Source organism: Homo sapiens, chromosome 5 (assembly GCF_000001405.40).
Source record: "Homo sapiens chromosome 5, GRCh38.p14 Primary Assembly".
Lineage (NCBI taxonomy): Eukaryota > Metazoa > Chordata > Mammalia > Primates > Hominidae > Homo > Homo sapiens.
The window spans coordinates 128,309,572-128,323,605 of NC_000005.10; the positions used below are offsets into that span (position 1 = coordinate 128,309,572).

The following is a 14,034-nucleotide window of genomic DNA, read 5'->3' on the forward strand; positions in this document are numbered from 1 at the left end:
CATCTCTCCTTTATCCTTAAAGGTTTTCACTTATAATTTTCTTGGGAGACAATGTTAATACATATTTGTTTTTCTCTCAAAATCATTTATTTAATTAAAAAAATAAAGCATTAAAATTTAAATGTTCTTTTATTTGTAAATTAATGTTCACACTATATGAATGGAGATGAAAAATTTAAGAATATATAACATTTGAGGAAATTTTCTACATTAGACTCATGCTTTTAAAAATTTAAATGTATACCCAAAGGTCAAAAACTTGATACTAAGCCAGCAGCTTGCAAGACTCTGAAATATCTCAATTCACGAAGACTGAACTTCCAAACTTCCAAACAATAATTCTGAGACGTAAGTGCTTTATGTGTGAAGTCAACAACTGTGCTCTAATTAATCTCAGAGTTCTTTACCTACCCATGCAGTTGTGGCCTCCATTGACCTGCATGTACTCAGGTGGGCAAATGCAGGTGTAATTTCCCAGGGTGTTATAGCAGGTCCCAGGCCCACACACACCAGGATGTGCAAAACACTCATCAATATCTAGAGTAGGCAAGAATATCTATTAATTAATAAATCTATTTTTTCAATGAATTTATATTACTTAGATGACTGAACAAAGCATAGGTGATTCTCTAAATCCCCATTTATGCAAAACTTAGAAATAAAGAAAATATCCCAAATATGCATTTATATAACACAGATACATCTTTCTTCAAAAGAAAAAAATCCCCATATTAAAAAATATAAAGCATCAAAAGAAATTATTCTAAAGTGGCAAAAAATAATTTCCTTGGCACATATATATATATATATATATATATATATATATATATATTTTTTTTTTTTTTTTTTTATTGCAATTCGCATTCTTCAATTGGAATTTCTTTAAAGCCTGCTTTTGTCCTATGTCACTTAGGCTAAGTTTTAATGCCAACTTTAAAGTGAATGCAGGTTGGGAAAGCCTTTGTCTTTGTAGCTTCTTTCAAATTAGTAACTATTCAGAGATTCTTAAAGCAGTGCAGCTGCTGGTTGTTCTCCTCATTACATCCTATTTCTTCCAGATACATTTATCAAACATGTTCCAAAAGAAAAGTTATAATGGAAATAATTACGCTACATGTTTAATGTTCAGTTAGAAGCATTCACTCATTTCACAATTAAAATATTGAGATTCTACTGTAAGCTAGAACTTATGGCTGTAATGATGAGTAAGATGTGGACCTTGTCTCCAGAAGCCCCCAGTTTAGTGGTGAGACAGGCCCCTAAAAGAATTGAAATACCATGTGATCAAGTGGGGGGATGGAAGCAAGAATGGCAGCTGCATAACCTTTGAACTTCTTCATACCATATAGTCCAACATTTAAAAATTACTGATCAATATTAAGTTAATGGTCACATTTTAGCTTACCAATTTTTCCTATGTAAAATGTAATTCTTATCAATATTTTCACTAATAACTTACTTAATATTTTAGGTTTTCACACTACCCCATTTTCCCAATTTATATTTAATCAACCCTCCTGGAAAAATACAGTGAATTATGGCAACGAGCCATAAATTAATTTGTCTATCATCATACAACTTAGCTACATTGATATGAAAAAAAAAAAAGCTATGAACCAATCTTAATTGAGCCTTTTGTAGAATGTGAGGATGGGCCTTTCCCTCAGGCCTCAGCAGCCATTTTGTTTTAAACAGCACTGAGCATTTTAGGCATCAAATTCATCTCACCTTCACAGATGCGGGTATCCTCGCTGAGGTAGTAGCCTTGTGGGCACTCACACTGGAAGCTCCCAAAAGTGTTGATGCAGTTTCCACCCTGGCAGAGACCTGGTAACTCCTGGCATTCGTCAATGTCTACAAAAAGGGAGACAGTGCACTTAAAACAAACACCTTCACTAAGGATAAGAGTTAATATTAGAGCTTTCAAAAGTGTGATCTTGTAAGAATCAGATTTCTATGCATCCAAATGAACGCACACTTAGATGGCAAGTTTATTCTGCTCAAATATCTTCTTGGCTTTGTCACAGAACTTTTACCATTATCTGAGAAAATGAATAAAGTTAAGTTGGAGATTATTCAAGGTAGAGGACAATGGGAAAGAGTTTCTCTGCAGAACAGTCAGACGTCAAATCACTGCAATGGATCATTACTGCTTGATAAAAGTAGTAGTTTAACATTTTAGTAATTAAAGTCCATCTGTAATTTTACTAAATTATCTTGTCGGGGCTGCTCTGCCCTAGGTTTTCTGCCAGCTTTTCTCTATAATTAACTCTTTACCTTGTTTGAATCTGGGTGACAATGGGATTAGCTCACCTTCTAAAATGATTGTGATGGGGTTAGGTCTGAAGCCTTCACCTCCGGGACACAGGGTGTAATATTCAGCTACAAAACAATAGAAAAATAAGAGGTTTGATACCTGTGTCCAAGTGGCTGAGACAATGAGCAAGCATTCAGCAAATGACAGGCTCAATATACTCATCCTAAGGGGTGTATCCAAATTTTTCTTAGTGCCCTTTCAAATACATTTAAAGTTACATATTTTACATAAAAGATCATACTTTATTAATCACATACACAGTAGAATAACACGAACCATTTGTTTTTAATTAAAGAAAAAATTCCCTTGCAGCTCTTTTAGCTAGTAAATTAAGACTAGAGAAAACAGGCTTTGGTTCATGTTCATATCAGATGTTTCAATTTAAGGCATTCTATAATTGACTTCAAGAATACAACACACCTATGAAGCTGAACTAAATAACCTTTGAGAAGAATCAGGAATGCACTTTATCTGTGACATCATGAAGAACTGATATTAGTACTATTCATACATGATTACAGTTAAAAATTATTTTTTTAACATATCATGATAAAACATAGGAAGAGAGGAATTCAAATCCTTTAACATTCTTGGCTGGTTTCAGAGTGATCACTGAAAGTAGTTCAAATTCAGTTTTTTTGTTTTGTCCTCACTAAACACTCCTCACTCCCAGCTCAGGAATAAAATGGCAACAAATCTTTAGATACCAGTTGGTTTTCTTCCTCTTCTTCAGCTTTGTACTTACTGCTATTGACAGGGGGGCATGTCTCACAGGGGTTTCCCCAGGCCTTTCCCAGAGAGCAGCAGCATGAAGAGCGACTGACGCCCACCCCGATCTCGGTGTTGCAAGACAGACTCCCATCTCCTCGAGGTCCAAACTTCAGGTAGCAGTTGCCCACACGGTTGTCTGCAGAGCAACAAAGGAGCTTACAGTTGCCCTTGCTTACATAGTAAGGACTCCATTTTAGGGAAAAGTCACTCAAAGGATGAAATTCAAATTTTGTACGTTAACATGAAAGGTTCCTTTTAATCCTTAAGTACCAAGCAATCTCCTGCTTTTCAGCTTTTTCGAGATTGAGTCAGAGGAAGCCAATCATGGCAGACTTTCCTATATTTAGAAATCCACATAGACCATATTTTCCTATACTCATGGAATGGACAAGATAGTAAGAAATTTCTCATTTGGGACATACTGGACCTCCAATAATAGGAATACAATACATTTTTTGTATAATTAATCTATATCACGAGTTTATCCAATGGTTTAGTTTCAACTTGCATAGCTAACTTTGCAGGTTTTGGAAAAGATAGCCTGCAACAAACTTAGAGAAGATACTTAAGGGATCAACTAATCTAAGGCTTTTCTTTATCTCTACAGTTATCATCCAGATCACTCCATTGAGTCTATGGGTTTAAATACTACTTTTTTGCTGAGAACTCTCAAATTTATGGTTCTGTATCTCATCTCTCCCGTGAACTCTAGACCCTTCTACCAATTGCCTATTTCATTTCTTCTCTTAAACATCTAATAATTATTTCAAAGTTAACACATCTAAAATCAAACTGTCAATGCTCTTTCCTCCATGTACAAAATCTGCCGTCTTCTCTCCCAGTCTTCTGCATTTTCAATAAAAGGAAATTCACTTTTTTTTTCAGTTGCACAGGCCCTAAGCTTTGACATCATTTTTGACTCCTTACTATGATTCCTTATTCAATCCAGTAATAAGGGCTGTCTACTCAACCTTCAAAACATATCTGGAATCGACCATCCTGGCTAACATGGTGAAAACCCGTCTCTACTAAAAATACAGAAAATTAGCTGAGCATGGTGGCGGGCACCTGTAGTCCCAGCTACTAGGGTGGCTGAGGCAGGAGAATGGCATGAACCTGGGAGGCAGGGCTTGCAGTGAGCCGAGATCACGCCACTGCACTCCAGCCTGGGCAACAGAGCGAGACTCTGTCTCAAAAAAAAAAAAAAAAAAAAAAAACATATCTGGAATCTGTCTACTTACCACTGCCTCTATCATTACTATCTTTTTTTTTTAATCACTACCAACTGAGTTCCAGCCACCATCATTATCCCTTTACCTAGTCTAATGTAATAGTTTTCTAACTCTTTTCTCAACTTCCATCCTTGACTAAACTATGGTCTACTTTACCTTCTGTAAGCCAGAGTGACCCTTCAATAGCATTACCTTAGGTCAGGCAACCTCCAATGGCTTCTCTTCTCAATCAGAATAAAATCTAGAGTTCTTAGCAGTCTACAAAGTAATTTTCATCCCTGGCTGCATATTAGAATCATTTGGGCTTTTTAAAAAAACTTATTTTACTTTATTTTTGTCTCAGATTTTGCATTTTGTTTTTGTTGCTGAATCTCAGATCTCAGAGGCTGCAAGATTCTCATGGTCCCCCTTCTAATTAGGTTTATTTATATTTATTTGTTTATTTATTTTTTGGGGACGGAGTCTTCCTCTGTTGCCAAGCTGGAGTACAGTGGCACTATCTCGGCCCACTGCAACCTCTGCCTCAAGTGATTCTCCTGCCTCAGCCTCCCGAGTAGCTGGGACTACAGGTGCCTGCCACCACGCGCAGTTAATTTTTGTATTTTTAGTAGAGACGGGGTTTCACCATGTTGGCCAGGATGGTCTTGATCTTTTGACCTTGTGATCCACCCACCTCAGCCTCCCAAAGTGCTGGAGTAACAGGCGTGAGCCACCACGCCCAGCCTAATTAGGTTTATTTATTCCTCATTTATTCACCTGTTCTTTCTCTCTCTTCCCCCTCCCTTTCTCTTTTATTCCTATTCTTCATTCCTATTCTCCTTCCCTACCAGATCATCCAAATGTATTTAATGCTATTACTTTTTACATGTGCTCTTGCAAAATAAATATTTTTGTTTTAATGTGTTCATTTTAAATGTACACAAATGTCTTTTGTCATACATCTCATTTCATTTTTATAACTTTTCTAGTCATGCTTGTTCTGTAAACCTCCAGTCTGTCAACTCCGTGGTGTATAATTGCTTTTAAAAAAAAACCCTCCTCTCCAAAAATGGTTTCTAAAATCCTGCCACCACAAAGAATGCCGTGATGAACATCATATATGTGTCTCTGTATGGGCCTGTGAGTTAATTCCATTGGCATATACAGCCACAAAAGGAATTGTTGATTCACAGGATTTGCCTATACTTAGCCTTCAGTCAGGAAAAATAGTCATCATTTACCAACTACATCCAAGGAACCCTTTAATTTTTAATATTTTTAAGTCATTTTAAAAAATAATTTACAGAAGAAAGGTATATTATAAAACTAATATACAGAAGAAAAAAGTTGAAAACAACTTTATTAGCAATATTAATAACAATTTAATGATAGCTAACTCAATTTTTTAATCTATATTTTCTTGGTTTTGAAGATATTCTACTCAAAATGATCTTCTGAATGCAACTAATTGCTTATCAACTGTCATTCATGAACTTGGAATATATCCAGTTTGTAAAAACCGATTCCAGGTTTCAAACACATCTCTAATAGGTTCTAGCTTATCATTATTTCTGGTTCTTCTTGTTCTTGCTTCATAAAAATGCAATACCCAAAGGAATGTTTGAAAACATTAACAGTTCATGATTTTGTTGATGAGAGGACAGCCGTCTTCTTTAAAGTCTCCACAAATAGAAAATGTTTTCATTTTTAGATTTATCAACACCAATTAGAACAATCAATCTAATGACTGTATTTCTACATCACATATTTCCTTCCAGTAACCTTTTATACATACCTGCCTTTATCTCTGTCTGCTTATGAATCATATCAATTAAATTTTGGTACAGAAACGTCATGAAAATATGAAAGAATCCACAAACCTGGGATGGTTCAGGTTCTTGTTACCAAATATTGCGGGTTGAAGTTCTTTCTATTGACTAAGTGGATGAGAATACTGTATTTCCTTTGTCTACGGAAATACACTGTCCTTTCACTTGCTGATTCTGAAGTTTGAAAACATTCACCTAGGATATTGGTCTCTGAAGACACGTAGTCTGGGATTGTGCTTAGATGATTCACTTCACCATCACCTTTAGAATCTAGACAAAAGAGCTGCTCTCTGTCTCTTTGTAGTTACCTGACTCAACTTCATTTTTTTCTCTTTGCCAAAAATTATGGCCAGTAAGTAAAAACTTCTAAATTCTCAACTGTGTTCAATAAATGCTAAAAGAAGATTTCAAGTAAGGTGTCTCCAGTCTTCTCTTGCACTTTCTTGAAAAATGATGCAATCCTTAGGACAATATAATAAGAAAACTGAAGGATGATAAAACAGTGACATTTTATTTCACTAATGCATGTTACTTCTAGGTGATGCCATAATTTTCCACTTCTCGTTATTTTACTCTGTTGTATCCATTGGACATAATGTTGAACATTGACAAAAATAACAGCTAGGATGATAAAACGTCAAAATGTTTCAAGACAAAGGAAAAACAAGATCTCTTAATATTTTATAATGTTTCAGACCTACGAAAGGTTCCAATAGATTCCTATGGCACTTTTGAGATAGAATAAGTCCTTGTTTTTTTGGCACTAAGAATGAGTGAACGCAATAAAGTGTCAATCCATACAAATCGAATTGCTTCAAAAAGAAACTCATAAACTAAAATTGATTATACACTGACAGTTAATCGGTGTACCATTGTGCAAACATATTATCTGCAGTGCTGCCCTGGTCTACACTTCTACCAGCAGAACAGAATGCTCCTCAAGGCTCATGTCCCCACCAATACTTCACATTATCCAGGTTTCCTAATTTTTGCCAGTATATGAAGTGTAAAGTGGCATTCATATAATTGTTTCAAATGGATTTCTTATTCCTAATGATTTTGGGCATTTGTTTGCTTACATTTTTTAATGTTTAGACTATTCTCTTTTATGAGCTGCCTGTTCACAGCCTTTGTTCCAAGGAGGTTTTTAAGAAATATTGAGGCCCCAGTGAGTCAGAATTTCTGAGGGTGTAACAGGCATCAATATCTTTTCCAGGTTCTAAATGGAGTTTACTATGCAGCCTGGGTTGAGAATCACTTTGCGAACTGGGCGACTGCTCCTCTGATTCCTCTCCTCATCCCTGTCCCCTCCACTCACTCCTCTCTTGCTACAAGCAGCCTTGTGCTGTGTCTCTAACGCCAGCCTTCTCCTGCCACATGCCCCTTGCACTGGCTTCTCCTTGTAACTGGAGGCTTCCCTCAGTGGTCCAGTTGGTCTGTCCCCTCCTTAAAGGCTGTGACTCCCCCATCCCTAATATAACATAGCGCTTCTCCTCCAACCACCTCCAGTGCCAATTCTGTTTGTTCTTGCTTTTATTTATCTCCCTGCCTCTAGAATGTAAACACAAAAGCAGAGAATGTGCTTGTTCTGTTCACTGTTGCAACTCCAGCCCTTAGACAGAAGGCACTCAAACTTTACCAAATGAATTATTTTGAATGGAAAACACAGACTTGGAGTTTGTGTAAATGATAATTAAAAGTATTCTCCAAAACTTGAAAACAGTATATAAGTTGTGTATAAATCACAGCAGCAAATATTCCTTCCATTTGCTGCAGGCCCAAAAACTGACACTGAGGACAGTAGGCAGATTTCTACTCAAGCAAGGAATTCTCCACCCCTCCCTTTTTTTGTATACTTCCAGAAAATTCTCCAGGCCATTTCCTTCTCTAGGAAAATACAGTAACAGTGCAGATAGTAAAAGCTGGACAATTGTTTTTTTAAGATCAGAGGTGCTGACCACAGATTCTGAACCTTCATTACGGCCTCCTCCTCCTCCCTGTCACCTTCCAACTTCTTCTGCTCCAATGGTTTGGCTCATAAATCCATCTCTCTAATTCCTTGCTTCTCATCACTTCATTTACTTTGCTATATGACCCTTCCAGTAGGCAGGAGAAATAGATATTCTAACAGCTATACCACCACTCTGGGTTATCCTGGCCAAACACTGGACAAGGAGCCAGGTGGCAACCTGGGCCACTGCCTTAGCTCTGCCACTTTCAAGCTCTGAGACCTTGAACAAATTACTGCACTTCTCTGTGCCTTGGTTCTCAAGTCCGTGAGAGGAGGAAGGTGGAGCAGATGATTTGGAAGAGAAACACAATAAAGGCGACCACATAATGTTTTGTTTTTAAGTTAACTGTAGCAAACACTCATCACGGTTCATTATCAAGAGAGTCTGAATATTCAACTTGATAATTCTATTTGTTTGTTTCATATAGCTTTACTTACCAACACAACCCACACCAGTTGGGTTCAACTGAAAATCGGGTGGGCAGTTACACTCATAGCGACCAGGCGTGTTGACACATAGGCCATTGACACAGTTTATAGGATCTGCACACTCATCAATATCTAGGAGAAGCATTTAAAATGCCCAGGTTACCATTTTTACTTTTTCTGTGCATACTGCTGTTCCAAAGAATTTGGTGGAATTTTTGCAAGTGAGTAGATTAAAGATCACTAGGAAAGACTCAACACAATAAAATAAATATCTTAAATTTTGGTATATACCTAAAACAGGTTCCATACATCAAGGACAGAGTATTTATGACAGCGTTTAACATCCTTAACAAATACATTGTAATTAATTAAAATTTGCAACTCTGAGGACGAAAAAATTATGTCACTATTTGCTTAACAAAAATCACATATATACATGTATATATATATATACATGTACTATATATACATATACATGAACATATATATAAAGAGACACTTTACTAGTTTCATGTCAGATATTTAACAATCATACAGATAACAATTTAATATTATTTACATAAAAATGCATCAATTCCATAGTTACAAATAAATGCATCTGAATATAATTTTCTTTTTCTGAAAAATGTGTAACCTAATGCATAGATTAGCTAAGCAGAAATCTCAGGAATTTTTATGCTTAGCACAGAATACTCATTTCAATGAATCAGAACACAACTTAGCTGGTAACTGACCATACCTGTACAGTTCCCTCCTGTTCTGTCCAATTCATAACCATCATCGCAGATGCAATGAAACATTCCAGGCAGGTTATTACATGTTCCAAAGACACAAATGTTTTGGAAGGAGCATTCATCAATATCTGAAGATTTTAAAAAAAAGTAATCTCTTATTTAAGAAGACATTTTAAAATTTTAATGTAATGTCTAACATTAGCGCATTTTTCTGCCCCCTCAGATGTTTTTATTCAGTAAGGCTTTTTTTTTCTCTTTTTTGGCTAGGTAGATAAGTGTAAAGGGCAAGCAACTAATGTTCACCTATGGAACTAAGATATACAAGAATACTGTTTTCTTCGTAAAATGAGTGTCTAGTATTTTGAATGACTTGGATTATGATATACTTAAAGAAGAGTTGGCTCAAGGCACACAAAATACAAAAATTAAATATAAACATGTCAAAGAAATGAAATTGTGAAAAAAAGATAAAAGCAAATTCAAAGATTCTAACTAATTAGTGCAAACAGCAGACATTTTATAGTTAATAAATGTTTTATATTATGAAAAAACAAATACATAATCATTTTAAATATTGGAGATATTAAAATTAACTTTTTAGTTAATTTAGTTAATTAAATAAATTTAGTTAATTTAGTTAATTAAATAAATTTAGTTAATTAAATAAATATTAACTTTTTAGTTTTTACTTCCTTTTTATTTTGTAATCTTATCTGTTATTATAAAGCAGTTTTAAACAGAGAACTAATTTCTTCCCTAATTTCATGTTAATAAGATGATCCATTGACCCCACATTCTAGTAAATTTCATTAAAATATCTCTACTGAATTGGACTAAAAATTCATTTATGAAAAGTTTATGAGAGTCTTCCATGAGGCTTTAACTCAAAGTTAGTAAATATGAAGTTATCACTCCTCACTCAGGTGAAAATCAATGTGTATGTATAGCTGTGGAAATAATCTGAATTTCTACTCTCAAAAAGAGGATGGATATTTATGTATATAAATTGCCTAACACTCTGAGAATGCAGACCAGGCACGTCATTTTAGGCTAGACTAGACAAATCATTCTAAACTGCTGTCCTCAGACAGTTATATCTTAAGTCTAAACAAGACTTCTTTGGTCATTCTTCCCAGTTAAAATATTGGTTTCAACTATTTTAGATTTAAGGTATGGTTCCAATCATGTTTAAAGTTTAACATGTGCAAAGGTGTCTTTTATTGTGTTGGGGGTAAGAAAGTTATTCTCTTTATATAAATGAGTAAAAACTCTTTAAGCTAGATTACAATTGAATTGTGTTAATTTATACTCAAAAAGGGAATTGTATTATTATCCTTCTGACTATGCATTTTTTTTTTTTTCAGACAGGTTCTTGCTCTGTCACACAGGCTGGAGTAGTAGCACGATCATGGCTCACTGCAGCCACAATCTCCTGGGCTCAAGCAATCCTCCCCCTTCAGCCTTCCAGGTAGCTGGGACTATGGGCAAACACCATCACACCTAGCTAATTTAAAAAGGTTTGCAGAGACAGGGTCTCCCTATGTGGCCTAGGTTGGTCTTGAACTCCTGGGCTCATGGGATCCTCCCTCCTTGGCCTTCCAAAGCACTGTATTAATAGGTGCGGGCCACCATGCCCGATCCATTTTACTTTTAAATGAACTTTATTAGAAATTTCTTCCACCTAAATAATGTAATTGTTGTATAAAAGAACGCATTTTAAAAGATTACTGTCTTTCCTTTATAAAAGTGATAAATATTCAAAAATTCAAATAATACAGAAAACAAAACAGCAAAACAATTACTCAAAAATGTTTCTATCTAGAAAGAATCATTTAAGATGATGAGACATTTTTATATACATATTTAGACAGTGAAGCTAAAACAATTTGTATGCATCAGATAAATTTACCATCATCTCAACAGTTTTAAAATACTTTTCTAATGTTAAGAATAAAAAACGCTAAAAATTTTTTGGCTTTATGCTAAAGTTGAAATGTAATTTTTAGACAGTATTAATGAATTCTATACAATAAATTATAAGAAAATTAGCACTCATGTATCCTTCCAACTCCTTATTTTTATTTAATTATGTTCACTTTTTTAATGTCTATGGCAGTTTACCATAATTTCCACAGTGTTTAGTACTAATTATTTACTTAAAGGGATCAATAATGGTTTTATGACAACTTCTCCATTTGTTTCTTGATTGGCTGTGTTTCATTGCTGATTGTTCTTTCTCCAAGAAGGGTGGGACTTTTATGAAATCACAGGTGTTTTCTACCTGACTTATTTCATGTGTAAGAAAATGCTTATTATCTTTACAATTAATATTAAGTATAATATTTTTCACATTTCCTCAGAATTCTGTGGGCATGGATCTAATGTCTTTTGATATTGAATATTTCTGTTTAGCTCATGAATTGCATTTTTTAAAAATTATACTTAAGTTCTGGGATACATGTACAGAATGTGCAGGTTTGTTACATAGGTGTATGTGTGCCATGGTGGTTTGCTGCATCCATCAACCTGTCATCTACATTAGGTATTTCTCCTAATGCTATCCCTCCCCTAGCCCCTCACCCTCCGACAGGCCCCAGTGTGTGATGTTTCCCTCCCTGTCCACGTGTTCTCACTGTTCAACTCCCACCTATGAGTGAGAACATGCAGTGTTCGGTTTTCTGTTCCTGTCTTAGTTTGCTGAGAATGATGGTTTCCAGCTTCATCCACGTCCCTGCAAAGGACATGAACTCATCCTTTTTTATGGTTGCATAGTATTCCATGGTGTATATGTGCCACATTTTCTTTATCCAGTCTATCATTGATGGTCATTTGGGTTGGTTCCAGGTCTTTGCTATTATGAACAGTGCTGCAATAAACATATGTGTGCATGTGTCTTTATAGCAGAATGATTTATAATCCTTTGGGTATATCCTCAGTAATGGGATTGCTGGGTCAAATGGTATTTCTGGTTCTGGATCCTGGAGGAATCGCCACACTGTCCTCCACAATGGTTGAACTAATTTATACTCCCACCAATAGTGTAAAAGTGTTCCCATTTCTCCACATGCTCTCCAGCATCTGTTGTTTCCTGACTTTTTAATGATCGTCATTCTAACTGGCATGAGATGATATCTCATTGTGGTTTTGATTTGCATTTCTCTAATGACCAGTGAGGATGTGCTTTTTTTCACGTTTGTTGGCCTCATAAATGTTTTCTTTTGAAAATTGTCTGTTCATATCCATTGCTCACTTTTTTATGGGGTTGTTTTTTTTCTTGTAAATTTAAGTTCCTTGCAGATTCTGGATATTAGCCCTTTGTCCGATAGATAGATTACAAAAATTTTCTTCCATTCTGTAGGTTGCCTGTTCACTCTGATGATAGTTTCTTTTGCTGTGCACAAGCTCTTTAGTTTAATTAGATCCCACTTGTCAATTTTGGCTTTTGTTGCCATTGCTTTTGGTGTTTCAGTCATGAAGTCTTTGCCCATGCCTATGTCTTCAGTGGTATTGCCTAGGTTTTCTTCTGGCGTTTTTTATGGTTTTAGGTCTTATGTTTAAGTCTTTAATCCACTTGAGTTAACTTTCGTATAAGGGGAAAGAAAGGGGTGCAGTTTCAGTTTTCTGCATATGGCTAGCCAGTTTTCCCAGCACCATTTATTAAATAGGGAATCCTCTCCCCATTGCTTGTTTTTTTCAGGTTTGTCAAAGATCAGATGGTTGTAGATGTGTGGTATTATTTCTGAGGGCTCTGTTCTGTTCCATTGGTCTGTATCTCTGTTTTGGTACCAGTACCATGCTGTTATGGTTACTGTGGCCTTGTAGGATAGTTTGAAGTCAGGTGGTGTGATGCCTCCAGCTTTGTTCTTTTTGCTTAGGATTATCTGGCTCTTTTTTGGTTCCATAATTTAAGGTAGTTTTTCCTAATTCTGTGAAGAAAGTCAATGGTAGCTTGATGGGGATACCATTGAATCTATAAATTACTTTGGGCAGTTGGGCCATTTTCATGATACTGATTTTTCCTATCCATGAGCATGGAATGTTTTTCCATTTGTTTGCGTCCTCTCTTATTTCCTTGAGCAGTGGTTAGTGGTTCTCCTTTAAGAGGCCCTTCACATCCCTTGTAAGTTGTATTCCTATGTATTTTATTCTCTTTGTAGCAATTGTGAATGGGAGTTCACTCATGATTTGGCTATTATTGGTGTATAGGAATGCTTGTGATTTTTGCACACCGATTTTGTATCCTGAGACTGCTGAAATTGCTTATCAGCTTTAGGAGATTTTGGGCCGAGATGATGCGGTTTTCTAAATATACAATCATGTCATCTGCAAACAGATACAATTTGACTTCCTCTTTTCCTATTTGAATACCCTTTATTTCTTTCTCTTGCCTGATTGCCCTGGCCAGAACTTTCAATACTATGTTGAATAGGAGTGGTGAGAGAGGGCATCCTTGTCTTGTGCCAGTTTTCAAAGGGAATGCTTCCAGCCTTTGCCCATTCAGTATGATATTGGCTGTGGGTTTGTCATAAATAGCTCCTATTATTTTGAGATACATTCCATCTATATCAAGTTTATTGAGAGTTTTTAGCATGAAGGGGTGTTGAATTTTATTGAAGGGCCTATTTTATCAAAGGCCTAGTTTTATCGAAGGCCTTACTGCATCTTTTGAGATAATCATGCAGTTTTTGTCATTGGTTCTGTTTATGTGATGGATTACATTTACTGATTTGCA

General features: G+C 35.7%; 1 protein-coding gene across 2 annotated transcripts in view; it reads right to left on the reverse strand.

Annotated features, from left to right (window-relative positions):
- FBN2 (fibrillin 2) overlaps positions 1 to 14,034 on the reverse strand; it is a 280,337-nt gene that overhangs the window by 51,663 nt on the left and 214,640 nt on the right. For both annotated transcript variants that reach the window (XM_017009228.3, NM_001999.4), the window contains 6 exons: positions 9,308 to 9,430; positions 8,578 to 8,700; positions 3,063 to 3,224; positions 2,314 to 2,382; positions 1,729 to 1,854; positions 412 to 537 (listed from right to left, as the gene is read on the reverse strand). In XM_017009228.3, coding sequence (XP_016864717.1) covers positions 412 to 537; positions 1,729 to 1,854; positions 2,314 to 2,382; positions 3,063 to 3,224; positions 8,578 to 8,700; positions 9,308 to 9,430 — 729 coding nt within the window. The remainder of the gene's footprint in view (positions 1 to 411; positions 538 to 1,728; positions 1,855 to 2,313; positions 2,383 to 3,062; positions 3,225 to 8,577; positions 8,701 to 9,307; positions 9,431 to 14,034) is intronic.